General features: G+C 49.8%; 1 protein-coding gene across 2 annotated transcripts in view, besides 2 other annotated features; it reads right to left on the bottom strand.

The window, feature by feature from the left end:
- Positions 5,467-17,786, bottom strand: part of RGS9 (regulator of G protein signaling 9) — a 90,334-nt gene continuing 78,014 nt past the window's right edge. For both annotated transcript variants that reach the window (NM_003835.4, NM_001081955.3), the window contains exons 18-19: positions 7,684-8,168; positions 5,467-5,895 (exon numbers count right to left, since the gene is read on the bottom strand). In NM_003835.4, the coding sequence (NP_003826.2) occupies positions 5,763-5,895; positions 7,684-8,168 (618 nt within the window). In that variant the 3' untranslated portion in view covers positions 5,467-5,762. The remainder of the gene's footprint in view (positions 5,896-7,683; positions 8,169-17,786) is intronic.
- Positions 7,231-8,035: an enhancer, noted in NCBI's record as "H3K4me1 hESC enhancer chr17:63221253-63222057 (GRCh37/hg19 assembly coordinates)". NCBI's record gives its function as "activates a minimal SCP1, AML or CMV promoter by ChIP-STARR-seq in primed H9 embryonic stem cells {active_cell/tissue: H9 hESC(primed)}" and the evidence as "EXISTENCE:reporter gene assay evidence [ECO:0000049][PMID:30033119]".
- Positions 8,036-8,840: an enhancer, noted in NCBI's record as "H3K4me1 hESC enhancer chr17:63220448-63221252 (GRCh37/hg19 assembly coordinates)". NCBI's record gives its function as "activates a minimal SCP1, AML or CMV promoter by ChIP-STARR-seq in primed H9 embryonic stem cells {active_cell/tissue: H9 hESC(primed)}" and the evidence as "EXISTENCE:reporter gene assay evidence [ECO:0000049][PMID:30033119]".

Below are 17,786 nucleotides of genomic sequence, written 5' to 3'. Positions count from 1 at the left end.
GAGGTGGCATAGTGTTCCCCTGACACCTGTGCCAGTACCAGGCGCATAGCCACAGCGCTCCATGCATGCGCCACACAGACAGTCCATGCCTGCATGGACCAGACTGTGCATGGACCAGAGTGTGGCCCTGGGCGCTTGTGTGCACACGCGCACCTCTATGCACGCAGGCTCCCGCCCCTCCTTAGACATAGCTGATGCTGCTGTAACCAGAGCCAATATCCCAAGCCAGCTGTCCCTAATAAATATACTCCCCCCACTCCCAGGAGTCCATGAATACTCTCATTCTGTTCTTCCCAGAAGAAAAAGAGACTGCCCCTCCCTCAGTCGCCTCTCATGAGGCCATACACAGGTCTCTCCTACCAGCTGAATAGTTTAAAAGATTGTTTTCTGATCCCGTTTATCCCCCCTACATGCCACCCCATTCTGGTCCCTCTGGGTGCCCCAGCTCAAGCCTCACCCCCTCAGCAGGGGAGCTGTAATCCCTCAGGTTGTCGTCAAAGATGAATGAGGGACCAGGCACAGTGGCTCATGCCTGTAATCCCCGCACTTTGGGAGGCCAAGGCAGAAGGATTACTTGAGCCCAGGAGTTCAGGACCAGCCTGGGCAACACAGGGAGACCCCATCTCTACAAAAAGCATTAAAAAATTAGCCAGGTGTGGTGGCAAGTGCCTGTAATCCCAGCTACTTGGGAGGCTGAAGTGGGAGGATCACCAGGAGTTCTAGGCTGCAGTGAACTATGATCACCACTGCACTTTAGCTTAGGTGACAGAGCAAGACCCTGTCTCTAAAAAAGAAAAATGAATGAGGCTTCGTGGGCCTCCAGTCCTAGGAGTCAGAGCTTGACACAAATGCCCTTCGAGAGTGGGATTCTTCTGGCCGCAGTCGGCAGGAGAGGGAGGGGGTTTTCTTTCTTTCTGCTGGAGATTTTCTGCAGAGGGTTCCAACCCTCACTCAAAGCCACTAGGGACAGAGCCTTGCCTCCCTCCTCCCAGCCTCCCCATCCCTGGTCCCCATAAGCTCACAATAGCCAGGAGAGCCACATAAGGGCCCCACAGTCACCCAGGGTTGCACAGGTAGACAAGATGCTTCTCTCTCATGGGTCCCCACTTTGGCCAGCTTATCCTGCTACCCCCACACCCCAATCTGGCTTTCCAAAAAGGAAGGCACCGTTCTTCAAGCCCCTCTCCCTTCTCTGACACAGGTCTCTGAATGCTAACAAGAAACTCCCAGCCGCCTCTCTTTAGGGATCTGTGAGCCTAGGACTCCCTCTTCTGGTGAAGTGTGAGGAGGTGACAGCTGCCCAGAGGGGAGGGCTGACCTCTGAAGCTGGGGTGTGTGAGGCATGAAGTATCCCCGGATCCCGGCTTCCTTCAGCCTTCCCAGCTCATGAATCATTGGCCTTCTTCTTTTCTTCCTCAGCAAATAAGCAGGAAGCAGCCCTGCCTCCTCTCAGACTCAATGATTTCACCCTGTTAGTGGTGTTCGTTCATTCTCACACTGCTGTAAGGAACTAACTGCAGCTGGGTAATTTATTTAAAAAGAGGTTTGATTGACTCACAATTCCACATGGCTGGAGAGGCCTCAGGAAACTTACAATCATGGCAAAAGGCAGAAGAGAAGCAAGTATCTTATTCACAAGGCAGCAGGAAAGAGAGAGAGCCCGAGGAGATGCCAAACACTTATAAAACAATCAGACCTTGTGAGACTCAATCACTATCGTGAGAACAGCATGGGGGAAACCGCCCCCATGAGCCAGTCACTTTCCACCGGGTCCCTCCCTCAACATGTGGGGATTACAATTCCAGATGAGATTTGGGTGGGGACACAGAGCCAAACCATATCAGGCTAGAAGGCCTCAAAAATCTAGGAAACCCTCTACCTAAGTGAGAGCCAGTAGGGGGATCCCAAGAGCACCATGTTGAATGGTTTATGTGTTAGTCAACTAAGAACCTCCTTGTTCTCCCACCCTACCTCTGCTTTTCCGGGGTCCCCCCTCCGACCCCCCTGCAGACATCCCAGCTGCAACAGCCCAAGCCCAAGGAGGGAAGGAACCTTACCTTTGAATGAAGTTCCAAGTTTTGCTTATTACACTAACATTGAACTGCATACAGAACTAAATGGAGACTGTCCTTGTCACTGATCATACCTGGAGGATCTGTATTATCTAAAAGTGACCAGAAAAGTTATGGGACTTCTCAGAGTTTTCATCCAGGTTTAGGAAAAGAAATAACTTGCAGCATAGGTTTAAAGGAGCATCTTGGGGAAAAAACAAAACTGTTTTTTTCTTGCACTACATAAGGTTCTGAGCAGCCAACACAGTTATATCCATATCACTCTATAGGTTTCCAAGCAGCCCTGTGAAGAAGGTCAAATTGTTACTCCCAGTTCACAGATGAGGAAATCAAGGAGCTGTTCCAAGCTGGAAAGGCAGGCGGCAGGATTCCCACAGCCCACAGCCCTGCACTCCCCCAACATGGACTAGATCCAATGCCCCCAGCTTGCTCCTCAAGCAATGATAGCACCTCCATGAGGGAATCAACTTTATTCCCAGGACCTCACTTGGTGTTTGACACCTAGCCGGTGTTCAGCCTTGAGCAAGTGGAAAGCACCCAACCATGGAATACAGCATAGCTACATTTTATAGGCATTTACCAAATATTGGCCAAACAGAAACTAACTGGTCACTCCCGTCTCCTCTTGCCCCACCTCTTGCATTATGTTATGTTATGTTATGTTACGTTATGTTATGTTAGTGTAACCCATTACCCCCAAAACTGTGTAATAATTCCACTGTGGGAGAGACCAAGTGTCCGCCAATATCCACTCTCCCCATCTTCCTTCCTCTAGCTAAATCTCTAGAAGTTTAACTACTCACAAACTGGCCTAACTGAAGACTACATTTCCCGGACTCCCGTGCAGCTAGCCATGGTCATGTGACCAAAGGCCAACCAATGGGATGTGAATGGAAATGACCCATGCTACTTCCTGGTTGTGAACTTAAGATGAAGCCACCTTCCCACCATTGCCTCTTTTTCAGTTATCCCCTGGGTATGGGCATGGGTGTAGGGGTGGTGAACCAGCTTCAATCACTACCTCAAGGCAGTGGTTCTCAAGCTCACCTGGACATAGACATCACCTGGGAGAGGCGCTAAAAAAAATCCCAGTGTCACAGCTCTGTGCGTGTGCCCTGGACAGCGGGATCTTTCAAGTTTCCCCAGTGGATTCTAATGTCCAGACAAGATGGAGGAGCATCATACTTGTGACCAGGGGATGGGTGGAGCAACAAGATAAAAAAATTTATTGGTTGTTGGATTTTTTTTTCTCTTCCCTGGCCTCCATTCACTTCCAGCCCATGACCTGGACTGCCCTACTGCCTTTAGGCAACTCTGTGTTACAGACAGAAACTCTGTCATGTTTGAACCCACTTCCTCCCTTCTGAGGTCTATTTATTACTGAACTATAGCCTGGACTTTATTTAATCCAACCAGTGGATTCTGGAGCCTTCTGTCATTGACGCTCTATCCATGTGGATCTTAGTTTCCATGTGGGCTTAGTTTCTCTTTAGGACCCTGGGGGCTTAGGAGAGGAACCCTTAAACACTGATATACAAACCTAGGGTTGAGATTCTCCTTATTTCTTGACATTGGCTGGTAGTAAACTAAGGGTGTGGATTGCTTCGCCTTTCATCTCATTTTAGATCAGCATTGCAAATAAAGGCATCAGGTTAACAGCTCACTCACTCTTCCAAGAAAGGACCAGACTCTCTCACTTACATTCTGGGGGAAAATTTTTCTTAGCCCTTTGTGAGTGACTCTTGTGAGCCCAGTGGAATAGATTCAGTAAAATCTACAATGAGCAATGGTCTTTAAGTATTGAAGCTCTGTGTTTTCCCTACGGGGATTAGCAAATCTAGGTTTCAGCCATGCACCCACCCAACATTCATTTGTAGAAGTGTGCAGAGATGAGTCAGCAACCCCAGTATTTATGGGCTAAATAAGTTGTCAGAGGTTAAAAGCAAGTCAGGGGCTCTTATCTACTAATTGAATTCTGAGGAAGTTGAGGGCTAAAGGGGAGGGGTATAATGAGTGGTTTGGCAAACCACTTGATTTTTTTCTCCTGTGAGGACTTCCTATGCAACTTTTAAGAGCTGTTTTATTCACCGCGTAGCCCTTAATCGCAACCCGCTGTCCAATCTAATTATGATCCCAGCAGTGCCGTTTGGGGCAATACTTCAGAGCATGCGCAGAAACCAGGGACAAGTACATACGCTGTAATCTCTAGTGCGGGGTTTCTCAACAGTGGCACCACTGGTGGTTTGAACTGATAATCTTCTGTTGTGGGAGCTTCTGTGCATTGTAGGATACTTAGCAGCGTCCCTGGCCTTTACCTGCTAGACACCAGTAGCAACCCCCACCCACTGCCGCAGTCTTGATAACCAAAAATGTCTCCAAACACTGACCGGTGTTCCCTAGAGGGCAACATTGACCTGGTGGAGAAACACTGTCCCGGATGAATTCCATGAGACAAGGAGTCCTACTCACAGCAACATCCCCAGCGCCTGTCATAGCGTCTGGCACATAGTAGGGACTCAATAAACACATGTTGAGTGAGTAACTAGGAGGGGAGGTGGGAGGAGCACACCAAAGCCCAAACCTCTAGAATTTCCCACTGGCCTAGTGCAGCGGAAGTGAAAAGGAGCACTCAGATCTCCAACTGCAGGGAGCACGCGGGCTGATGGCCAAGCTGCTGCAGCTCAGGATCCACCAGCATATCCATGCCAAGGTCAGGCTTTCCACGGGATCTCCCAGCACATGACCATGCACCGTGGGGGTACGAATGCAGGGCCGTTCCCAGAGATGCAGGCCCTCTCCAGCAATGACTTTGGCTCAAGGACACCCCAGCAGCCTGGTCAAAACTTTCTTGGACTGCACAAAGGACACCCCAGCAGCCTGGCCAAAACTTTCTTGGACTGCATAAAGGACACCCCAGCAGCCTGTTCAAAACTTTCTTGGACTGCACTGCCATCTAAGACTCTCCCTGCCCAGAGGTCAGACTTGCAGCACGGTCTGGACTGCCCCCCGCCCCGAACCCCCTCAACACTCAACTTCAACTTTCTCCAGCTCTGGCCCTTCCTTTATCTACCACAGGTGTTTTCCCCAACAAATCTCTTGTCCATCGAATCTCACCTTGGTGTCTGCTTCTTGGAGGACCTGAGGCAACACACCTGGCATTTTAGGAGTGTGCCTGCTCCCAGCCCTCTGTCCATTCCTGTGAGATGCCATGCCCCGGGGCATCCCCTGGGGAGCTCTGCTGATGAGAAAAGCATTGTGCACAAACCCATTTAGACAAGGAGAGAGCTCTTGGAAGCGACTCAATGTCCCTTTGTCCAGAAGATTGAAGAAGACGTGAGTTTAACTCATAAATAATAGCTCACAAATTACTAACAAAACCAGACACACACTAACATTCCAAGAAACTTAAAGTTAACCTTTTATTGGTTTTAAGGCAGCAGGGAAAGTCTTCTGGTCCACATGCGTTTCTTCTGCCCAGGGGAGGGAGGGTCAGGAAGAGGAGAAGGAGTTGGCCCCTGGTAACCAGCCAGAGCATTCTTTGCCACAATCTACCCCATCTTGTCTCCCCAATCTTCAAATGTCACCCAAATGCACTTTGGTTCTCGAGCAAGTGTGTCCTGTGGCCCATACCATGGCATCTGTCAGAGCATCTTCCTGGTCCAGAGCCCCCAGCTCAGCCTGCCTCTTTCCTTACAGGCTCTCCCAGGGGCAGATGACCTCCTTTTCTGTGGCCCGGTCACCCGACTCTCCTGTTCCAGCATCCTCCGAGTCCATCAAGCAGGTCCCGCTCCCCGTGGGCACATCCATTTTGATCTGGAAAAAGCTTCAGGTGCAAGAGGAAAGCCAGTAATGTAGGGGCAGGGGCAGGAGGGACTGCACCTCCCCAAATCATCCTGACATCCTTGAAGATGAACATACCAGGTGCATTTGCCAAAGACTGTGGTGGGGGCAGGTATAGCTCAGGGGTAGAGCATTTGACTACAAAGGTTGTGTGTGCAGTGATTGGCTTGGTGGAATCTTTTTATTGGGGATTCATATTTTCATTTTGAATGAAAAATAATTCTGAAGGTGCTTTGTTTTCATTTTTGAGGTGCTCGGATCCCTGTGGTTTTGATGGATTCAGGAGGTCCCTGTAGGACATACCAGGACTTAGTCATCAACCCCTTTAAACTGACTTCATGGGTGCTGGGCACTGTGGCTCATGCCTGTAATCTTAGCACTTTGAGAGGCTGAGACAGGCGGATCGCCTGAGGTCAGGAGTTCGAGACCAGCCTGGCCAAAATGGCGAAACCCCGTCTCTACTAAAAATACAAAAAAATTAGCCGGGCGTGGTGGCATGTGCCTGTGATTTCAGCTACCTGGGAGGCTGAGGCAGGAGAATTGCTGGAACCTGGGAGACGGACACTGCAGTGAGCCAAGATTACACCACTGCACTCCAGCTTGGACTACAGAGCAAAACTCCATCTCAAAAAAAAAAAAACACCCAGACAAACAAAAAACTGCCTTCTGAGGAAGTAGTGGCCCTTGAGAAGAGAGCCTTTTAAAGTCCCAAGCCCATGTATGAGGCATAGCAGCGGCCCCAAAGCTGGAATATTCCCTCTGCAGGGCCTGTTGGGAAAAATCAATAGACACACTCACACAGGATTCTGACCCTTCTCCTAAGGCAACTAGAGTCACCTGCTCCTCCCTCTCCCCCTAAGCGACACAGGCAGGAGGGATAACAACCTCTGCCTGGCTGTCCCCGGGTATCCCTGGCAACCTAAGACTTCTGCATGGTGCTTTCTTCTCCAAGCCCAGACGAGGCCAAACACATGTTGATTGGTGCAGGGGTGCCCCTGACTGTCTCCCCCAAAACTCAGTAAGTGTAGGAGCTGATTCTCTGTGTTGCATCGCTCACAAGTTTTCTTTCTGCTCTGATCCAGGCGTTATGGAGCACTCCTCAGAGCCTTAGTTCTGCCCCCTCTGGCCTGTCTCAGGGAACTGGGGGTTCTCAGAGATCAGGCTTGCAGGACCACCCAAAATGAAGTTTAGAGGGGCCCCCCCTCAGGCAAAGGCTACGCACTTTCATTTTCACAGAAATGACTGCCAGAACAAGGCTCCCTGAAAGTCCCTCTAAGAGACTGTGCCAATGGATGCAGAGGAGGGTGGGAAGGTTTCCTTAGGGTGGGGGAAGGGAGGCAAGGGCACTTATGGTGAGGGAGGGGCTGGAGCACCCAGAAGCATGCCCAGGGCATCCCAACACCTGCAGCTCCCACTGCTGCCACCAATCTTTCCTGCTCTTTACAGATGCAATGGGTTTCTTAGACTAATAACGGTCTTGGGATGGGACAATGTGAGTGGAAGAACATATAAGGGGAAAAGAGATTTGGAAAAATGGAAAAGATTTGGAAGATGAAAAAGAAGGACACCTGTTCCTTCTCCCTCGGGAGGACAGCAGAGGACAAAACTGAGTTTCTGAATATCTTCCAGTGGCCAAGGGATCTGAGTGGGCTGCCTGGGGTATCTGTTCTCACCCATCCCAGTCCCCAGCCCAAAGCATGCATATTCACATGCAGAGGCCTGCACACCCACAGCCACCCATGCATACGGCACGTCCCCTTCGGGTTCTTACTTTGCTACTCTCTTGGATTTCAATCGTGGCAGCTGCTGGCCCACGTCCCCCAGGGGCTGCACCCTCCCGTGGGACACAGCAGGGCACTTGGGTGAGAGCCTGGCAAAGACAGGTGAGGCCAGACAGCCTCGTCTCAGAAACCTGCTGAAGGACAGAGCCATGCGGGCCTTAGGAGGGGCCCTGGGCCGGCTGCGAGGCCAGGAGGTGTCGAGGGAGGCCTCGCTGCTCTCGGTGACAGAGGGCCCACGGGGGGCCATGGACCCGCTGCACTCCCCTTTCTGCTCCAAGCCCGATGAGCTCTCCAAGGCCACTCTGATGGGTGAGGGGCAGATGGTGGTGCTGGGTCGCCGGATGAAGCGGCTGGGTGAGGCGAAAGGCTTCCTGGGGGAGCGGCAGGAGGAGGAGAAGGGGCTAGAAGGAGACGGGGGCATGCAGGTCCCGGTGTACACGGTCAGATGGGGGCTGGGAGCCATGTGCTGGCCCGGCTGTAGAGAAGGAAAGGAGAGAGCTCAGTGGTGAGTTGCATGGCCCCAGCCAGCAGGGCCCCTGGGCTGTCCTCTGCTAACTTAGTCCCCTTCCAGCGACAAGAGTGCGGGCCTGATATGGCTGCCTCCTAGGGAGCTGGGAACGGTGTCCAAAGCTACCTATGACAATGGCACAGCCACACAGAGGCCTCCTGTCCAGGGACCTGCCTGTCGCCCAGCCCTGGTCACAGTCCCAGGGCTAAGCAGTTGTATCCCGGGACATGAACTGACCTTCTTCCAGGCCAAGGATGCTGGAGTATGGCCAGGCTGCATTCCCGATCACCCCTCAACTCCAGTCCCCAAATGAGCAATGCATAGTACCTGCCACAGCCCATGCCCTGCCTTCTCCATCCTTGGGCCCCAACCTCAGGTCTGGAGGCATTTAAAACACTTTTAGCTGATAAGTGGAGGTGACAGAAGAAGTCCCAGCTCATGCCTTCCTGACTGCTCCGGGCCTGAGGCCCCTCCTTGCTCTGAGCCCTGCCCAGTATCCACAGTGACCACCCTTTTGGGGTGGTCTAGGCCCAGCACCTTCCCAGATCTCCCCTCAGGCAGAGCCGGGGTGGTCAGGAAGAAAGGTTGAATGTGGAACCAGGCCAGGCTGGGGAGAAGGAAACAGGAATACATGGCGAGGAGGTGTTCAGTGGAGAAAGGGGAAGTATCTCAACCTTCCTGGGCCACCATGGCCCCAGCCCCCAGAGCATAGGCCAGGAGGGGTAAATCTGGCATTTACAGCCCAAAGTTGCCTGAAAGCAGACAAAAGGAAATTAAAATCGGAATTTTCAGTGAGCCTGTCTGCTATCACCACTTTTCCCATGGCGGAACACACTGGCCCATGGGCCTGGGTTTGCTGGATTCCCTCCTAAAGGCCTGCTGTGGCCCAAGCCACATCAAAGCCTGGCATGAAGCCCAGCATGGTGGCTCACCCCTGTAATCCCAGCACTTTGGGAAGCTGAGGCGGGTGGATAACCTGAGGTCAGGAGTTCGAGACCAGCCTGGCCAACATGAAGAAACCCCATCTCTACTAAAAATACAAAAAAAAAAAATAGCTGGATGTGGTGGTGGGTGCCTGTAATCCCAGCTACTCAGGAGGCTGAGGCAGGAGGATCACTTGAACCCGGGAGGCATAGATTGCAGTGAGCCGAGATCGCGTCACTGCACTCCAGCCTGGGTGACAGAGCAAAACTCCATCTTAAAAAAAAAAAAAAAAGCCTGGCATGAACAAGCTGGGGATGCTCTGGTCCTCGAGAAGGAGGTGAGGGGCTCCAGGACAGTCAGAGCACAAAAGGCCTAACACACAGCACAGCCACATAGTTGCCCTGCTCAGTGAGAGCTGGCTGACCCCGGGATCTGGGCACTGCCCCCGGGCTGAAGGAGGTAGCCCTGGTCCCTGAGCAGGTGGCTCCTGCAGAGGGTGGCCTGGCTTTCAGATCACCTGCATGGGCAGGTCCCAGCCTGAACAGGGAAGGGCAGGCGCACCCAAGAACAGCTCTGGTGGGGGAAGAAAGGCCAGGGGCCACTGAGGGCAGGGCCAGGAGGGCATGGAGGGCTTGTCTCATTCCTTCCCACCAGCTCCCTGAAGTTCAAACGAGATTCTGTTCCCAAACAGCAGCTCAGAGCCCATCATTCCCCCTCACTGCCCAGAATCCCACAGGGTGGCAGAGCAAAAGCCAGGCCCACGCCCAGGGCCATGGGGTTATTATAGTAATAACAATCACATCATTAATTCACAGTGAGAACACAGCAAATGTGAGGCCCTGGACTGAGCACTTTACTCAATAATCATGAATTATTGCATTTGCAATAACTATTATAATTGCAATTATTACTGTAATTGCAAATCCACTATTGTGGATTATTGCATGCTCCACAGAGCCACCCAGTGAGGCAACTGTTATTATCCCCATTTTACAGATGAGGACACTAAGAGAAGTCCAGCCATTCCTCCAGGGACACCCTGCCAGGAACAGTGGGCTCAGACTTTGAAACCCAACTGGCTGACTCGGAGTCGGCGCAGTCATCGCTCGCGGGATGCCTCGGTGTGGTCTACAGATCGGCCACATCAGAATCACTCAGGGTGCTTAGTACAAAGGCAGAACCTGGCCCCACCACAGCCCCACTGAAGGAGAATATCAGGGGGGTGCGACTGAAGGAAAGCATTTCTAGCTGACATCTGAGATTATTCTGCCCTGTAAGCTTAAGGGACTCTGCACTAAGCTTCTAACCCCTTCCCTTCTATAGGGAGGTGCAACTCTACTTAGGACACATTCTGCAAAGAATGTACAGCAGGGAAAGCTGGGCCTTGATTAGGGGCTTGGGAGACAACTGTTAGGTGGAAAAGGGTGGCTCGTAGATGTATCAAGTATCTACTACATGCTAGGTACTTTGCTTATCTATAACCACCCCATTTTAGAGAACAGAACATTGAGGCCCACAGGGGCTCATTACCCTTTACCAGCTCTCATGACTAGTCAGTGACTGTGGCATGTAGAATCACAGTGACTGTGGCATGTAGGATTCCCACCCCTGTCCTTGAGTGTACACGTGAACCATAAATGTGATGGGGTAGTCACTCCCAGTCAGGCTATGTGATGAGGCATAGCTGACTTTTAAAAAGGGGGAGTGTCTGGGTGAGCTCCAGCTGGTCACAGGAGCCCTTTCCATCTGAGTCTAGAGGCCAGAGGCAGAAGGCAGAGAGATCGGAAGCTTGGCAAGGATTCAACTGGGGAGAAGGTCTCCATGGCTGGCTTTGAAGATGGAGGGGGCACATCTCAAGGAATGCAGGTGGCCCCCAGCTGCTGAGAGCAGCTCCCAGCTGATGGCCAGCAAGAAGACAGTGACCTGAGTCTTAAACGAGGAACTGAATCCTGCCAGCAACCCAAATGAGCTTGGAAGCAGATTCTTCTTAGAAGCATCCAGATGAGAACCCCGTCAGCCTGGCTGACACCTTGAATGTGAGACCCTGAGCTGAGAACCCAGCTGCGCTGTCTAAGATTTGTGTCCTCCACAAAATGTATATGTTGAAGGCCTTCCCCTTGCAGGTGATAGTATTAGGAAGCGGGGTCTTTGGGAGGTGATTAGTCATGAGGGCAGAGCCCTTGTGAAAAGGATCAGTATCCTTATGAAATAGACCCCAGGGCACTAGGTTGGCCCTTCCACCGTGGGAAGACACAGTGAAGAGACTCCATCTATGAACCACAAAGTGGGACTCCACCAGACCCCGAATCTGTTGGGGCCTCCATCGTGGACATCCCAGCCTTCAGAACCGCGGGAAGTGTTTGTTGTTGATAAGTTCCCTAGTTTATGGAATTCCCTTACAGCCCCTTGAACAAGACATCAGCCAAATGTCTCCTGGAAAACTGAGCTCATACCTGGCTGGTGCTTGTGGTCATTGTTATGCAGCAATAGAAAACTGAAGCAGTGACTAAATGAGAACCTGAGGCCAGGTCTGTGTGACCCAAAGGGCCTTGCTTTCCTTGCTGATTCACATTGCCATCCAAAAATACCAAAACTAGGAACTCGGCTTTGTCAAGAGAGATACAGAATTAACTTCCATTCCACTTCCTCAGAATTTGTGATAAACTTCTATCATCCCACTATACAGATAAGACAACTGAGGTTCATGGATATGATGCAACTTGACAAAACTCAAAGTTTGTGACCAGATCAGCCTCTCTATATGCCCTCCCCCAACTCTGTGCCCTCCTCCCACCCTCCTACCTCTCTCGGTCCATCTCTGGCTCCACTCCTCCCCTAGCATCTTCTCTTTTCTGGGATGAATGACAGACAGGCGAGGAAGATGGCCACTTACCTGGCCTGAGATGGTCCTTTCTTCTGGGCAAATGACCATTAGCTTTACTGGTCCTGGACAATCTAAGCAGATGTCTTTTCCACCCGTTCCCACAATTCCCCACCTTGGTCCCTCCCATGGAGCCTGGGGCTCTGCTTGGAGACCCAGCCCCTCCAGCCCATGCCCCACCTACCATTGGTGTGAGGCAGCAAAGCAGTGGCATGCATGACACATGGCAAAGAAATGTGACACCACAGAGACACAGTGAAGGAGAGCTTAGCATTGTTTTGTTTCATGCTGCTGTTTTATTGTACAAGGGAACCAAGAGAAGGGAGTAAAGGAGCATGAAATGAAACAGGTATGTTAACATGAGAACACAATCACAGGCATTTTAATGAATGGCAAAGCAGGTAGTGCATAGAGATGAAATTCATTTTCTGTCCTCGGAATGTGGTTGAGAATTTGAAAGAGACCTTGGGGCCACCTGAACTCCCACTTCCTGGGAGCAGAAAGGTGAGCAGAGGGCCACATTTAGGTGCAGCATGCAGTGTGCAAAGTCCCCTCTTCCAGTGCCTTCCCACTCTCCCCTTCCCCACCGCCCCCAAGCAAATGTGCAAAGTTAGCCCCATGGGGAAAACTCTGCCATGGGTGAACACATGGCATGACCCCATACTGGTCATCCCATTTGACACAGTCTAGCACAAGACCTTCTCAGTTAGCAACGACCCTTACTTCAGCCATGAAACTCCAGACTACAGGATTGACCAGTCACTACACTGTTGCTGGTCAGTCCTCTCCTAGAAGCTGCAGACAGAGGACATGACATCAACTTCTCCCCCTCCTCCCCTCAAATATATCCTAACGTTCTCTGGAGAGCTGGAGGACCGCACTGCAAAATTCTCAAAGAACAGAGAAGATAGATGGTTTGAGATGACAATGTTTTAAATATCTCTCAGGAAATGCCTTAAATAAAGAATAATGATTTACTATATTGGACAACACCAACAGCTAGAAGAAAGCACAAGCTTACTCTAAGACTGAAGCTACTAGGTGATGATGGTGATGATGGTGTATTAATGGTGATGGTGATGGTGAGGATGGTGGTGATGATAATAATAATGATATGGTGATGATGGTGATGATGGTAGTGGTGGTGATGTTGATGGTGATGATGATAGTGATGATGATGATGATTGTGTATTAATGGTGATGGTGATGGTGAGGATGGCGGTGATGATAATAATAATGATATGGTGGTGATGGTGATGATGATAGTGATGATGATGATGGTGATGATGGTATGATGGTGATAGTGATGGTGATGGTGGTGATGGTGATAATGGTGATAGTGATGGCGATGAAGGTGGTGACAATGATGATGGTGGTGATGATGATGATAGCAGCTAGTGTTCGTTGAGGGCTTATAATAGGCCAAGAATTGTCTTAGGTCTTTACTCATATTTTGTCCCTGGCCCTTATATTTTTACTTAATATTCACAATGAAAGCAGCCTTTTCTCTAAAAGTCAAGTTGGAAAATGGAACTCTATAAAGGAAATCCTTGTACTTACAGAATAACTTATATCCTAGCACAAGCTATGCACCCCATGGATAGAGGGGTTTGTTAAGTTGTTTAAAATATAACATTAAGGAATTCAAAGGTGTCTAAGGACACGGCATAATAGAGATTTTCATAGTGATTTAAATATATCGTTAATATTGTCCAAATAAATGTTTATTTTTTATGCTATTTGGGATTTCAACGGGCCCTGTGGGACACATAGTTTAAACATTAGCAGGAGAAGCTGCCACCTGCTGGAACAATAGCAGCAGCCACAGATGCTTGCAAGCCCTCAGAACCTGCAGTCCCTTCACTACCAAACATGAGAATTTCCTGGTGGACTCCAGGGTTGGAAAGCAGAGCACTGGCATACACTGATGTTGGGGAGAGGGAGGTGCAAGGTGGAAAAGAGCTGATACCTGGAGTTGAGATCATGGTGAAGCCACACAAATGCACACAGCCCTGAGTCCCTAGGAGCTGCATAGAGCTTTCCAGGATGGATGGTCCCGGTTGGCCACTGGTCCTGATCACCAACGAACTGCCCTGCCTGGCCCTGCCCACCCCTCTGCTTTAGCCTCTGCTGATCTCCCCAAGTCTCCACTGCCTTCACCAGGCTAGCAGTCCTTGCCAACCCTTCCCAAAACATTATGTGGCTTCCCTATAATATCACACCATTTGGTTTAATTGTCTCTCCTGTTGAACAGCAAATGCCGCAAGGGTGTCTCTCTTGCTCACTGGTGATCCCAAGCACTTAGCAGGATGCTGGGCATGTAACAGGTGCTGAATATCTCTGTTGAATGTTGAGTGGTCATAACAGATAGAGGAAAACTGTTATCAGAGCCTGACCCCTCTATTCACAGAAGCTGGAACTCTGGATCCCAGCCTTGGCAGATTACAAGAAGCAAGAGAGTGAGCAAGAAAGAGAGAGTGAGAGAAGAGGACAGAAAGAAAGGGGGAGGAAAGAGAGAGAGAGCTATTTCTGAGCATCCACCCTAAGCCAGACACTCTCTACTATCAATAACATTCTAAGAGAAATGATAACTTCAGACAGGTTGAAGGTCAAAGCCACCCAGCTAAAATATCAAAACTATGTCTGCCTAACCCCAAAGTCCACATTCCTTCCCCTACCATTCAAGCCTGGCTTCAGAAAAAAAGCTGTTCTCATACCATCTAGCTTCAAGGATTAAAATTCCTGGAACCACAAGACAGAGATGTGTTCATTTAGCGATGTTTAAGGATCAACCCTTTACAAGTGCTGTTCTGACTGGAAGCTGATAGCAAGCGGGTTTCTTAAAGTTCTGCATCGAAAGTAGTCAATGACTGCTGGAAGACAACACCTCCCTCTTTCCCGTGGCCATCCCACAGCATTTCCCATTGACAAAGTTGCTGGGAATTCCAAAGTTTTCCTGAATGGCTGCTTGGCTGACCAAGGAGTATCATGGAATGTACATCTCTCTCTATGCCACCTTTGAACATACAGAAACTTCCATATAAGGAGAGGAGACACTTCTTCCCTCTCCTAGCTTGACAACCTTCTACTCAACTGTTTGGTTCAGCATCCATCATCACTGCCTCACAGTGATTGTCAAGCACTTGTTTGGTTCAACACTTCAGGGACTTCTCCTGCAGTCACATGGCCTTGCTTCTGTAGCCACACTGCCCTCCTCCTGCAATGCTCTCAGCAAATGCCTCAAATATTCCCTAATCATTAAAATTGATCTTACCTTAACTTAGCCTTCAGCTTCCTTCCCTTCCACTTCCAAATCTCTCTGAGTTGCAACATCAGAGAGTAAACTATTCCTCTCCAAAACCAATCTTGGCTTTGGTCTGATCCCCTCCAATTTTTTCCAGGCTTTCTCTTATCAATTATTCTTTATTTTATCTCCCCACCTCCCCAGGATCATCCCCTCATTTGGCAAACACCCCCACCTCACGCTGTCCTTTGGAAATGCCTCCTCTCAACCCTCCATTATCTAAGTTACCACTATATCTCTCGCCTTCCTCCCAAACTACTTGAAATGGTAATCTACACACACAGCTCACTCTCCTTACTTCCAACATCTTCTCCTTTATTCCCACAAAAGTGACTTCTTCCTTCACTATTCTGCTGAAATCACCCACTCAAAATCCCCAGTGATTTCCTTACTGCTAAATCCAGTGGCCTCTGCCAGTCCTTGACATGCTCAACTTCTTGATTCGGCACGGCAGGATGGGCTATGCTACAGCAACTCCAAACTCTCTGTGACTTCTTATAATAAAGGTCTGGTTTTTTGTTCACATAAAGTCCTGTGTGGGCCAGGAGGGACTCCCAGGTCCACAGCAGGGGATGAGATGGAGGTGGAGCCCCATGCTCTGATCCACCTCAGCAGAGCCCATGTCTATTGGCCACAACTAGACATGTGGCCCCAGCTAATTGCAGGGTGGCTGGGAAGTGGAAGGGTGCCCAGGGACTATCCAGTAGGCACTGTCTCTGCTCAACGCTGCTGGCCACCCACCCGTATCCCCCACCCATCTTCTCAGGGAGGCGTCCTAACAGCTCTGCCACTCCGTTCTTAACTCTTCTCTCTCCTCTTACACCTTTAAAATGTGGCCTCGTCCAAGCTTCCCTCTTAGCCTTCTTTTCTCTCTCCATCCACTCTCTGGCCCTCAAGTTCCATCCACTGTCACATCTTCAACAGTCAATTCTGGATCAATGAACCCATCTAAAATTACTCCCCTTCCTTAATTCAGAGTTACTCGAACCTACTTTCCTTTCCTTCAGAGCACTTATTTATTATCTACTGCCTGTCCCCGCACCCCCAGCTAAAATGCAAACTCGATGAAATAAGACTTGATGATCTTATTCAGTTCTGCATCCGTTATGCCTAGAACAGGAATGGATTAGAAATCTCCCTCACCAGAAGCACATTTTCAACCTCGTGTTGGGACTTAGGAGTAGGGGGAGGATCCAGGTAAAAAAGGACTTGAATGCTTGACTTCATGACACTGTAAAATCGTTGCCCAGGCTGAAGTGCAGTGGCGCGATCTCAGCTCGCTGCAACTTCTGCCTCCCGGGTTCAAGCGATTCTCCTGTCTCAGCCGCCTGAGTAGCTGGGACTACAGGCGCCTGCCACCACGCCCGGCTAATTTTTGTATTTTTAGTAGAGACAGGGTTTCACTGGGTTAGCCAGGATGCTTCGATTTCCTGACCTCATGACCAGCCCGCCTCCGCCTCCCAAAGTGCTGGGATTACAGGCGTGAGCCACTGCACCCAACCAGACACAGTAAAATTCTAAAACCAATCTGTCTCTCTGTTTGCTTGGTAGTTGTCAGGAATTTCAGAGCAAAATTTAATGCTTAAAAAAAATGTAACATTCAGTTTTGATAACCCAGTCATCCACGGTTCACTGTGTACAAACTACTGTCTAAAATTAGTTTTCAATCTATCATTTTAGACATTCCATCATATAGTATTATAGTATTATGAGCTGCCTCAAATCCCTTCTGGAAGAAGGGGGAACTATAATTATTAACCACAGCTCTCTGCCTTCCACTTGGAAAATTATACTCAATCTTTGAGGTCCAGTTTCCCCGATGCCTCCAGATAGGATCCATCACTTCCTCCTTGACATTCTCCTTCTGTTCTGCTTGCTCCGCTATGAGTCCTGATACCCTCTGTGTCAGTGAGTTGTACAGTGTGTCTGTCTCTTTCCTAGTCTGGAACTCCTTGAGGGGCTTTGCAGGCTCCCAGTGTCTGGTACATAAGAGCTCCAAGGCCAGGCGCAGTGGCTCACACCTGTAATCCCAGCACTTTGGGAGGCCGAGGCCAGCGGATCACTTGAGGTCAGGTGTTCGAGACCAGCCTGGCCAACATGGTGAAACCCTGTCTCTACTGAAAATACAAAAATTAGCCAGGCGTGGTGGTGGGTGCCTGTAATCCCAGCTACTGGGGAGGCTGAGGCAGGGGAATGGCTTGAACTTGGGAGGCTGAGGCAGGGGAATGGCTTGAACTTGGAAGGCTGAGGTTGTATTGAGCCAGGATGGTGCCACTGCACTCCAGCCTGAGACTCTGTCTCAAAACAAAAAAAAAGAAAGAAAGAAAGAAAGAAAGAAAGAAAGAAAGAAAGAAAGAAAGAACGAAAGAACGAAAGAAAGATAGAGAAAGAAAGAAAGAAAGAGAAACTCCGTAAATGTTGATTACATGAATGGTGTACACATTTTCGTCTGGGACTCCAAACCTCCCTGGTGCCT

This window comes from Homo sapiens, chromosome 17 (assembly GCF_000001405.40).
Source record: "Homo sapiens chromosome 17, GRCh38.p14 Primary Assembly".
NCBI lineage: Eukaryota > Metazoa > Chordata > Mammalia > Primates > Hominidae > Homo > Homo sapiens.
This window is presented reverse-complemented; position numbering and strand designations above follow the sequence as displayed.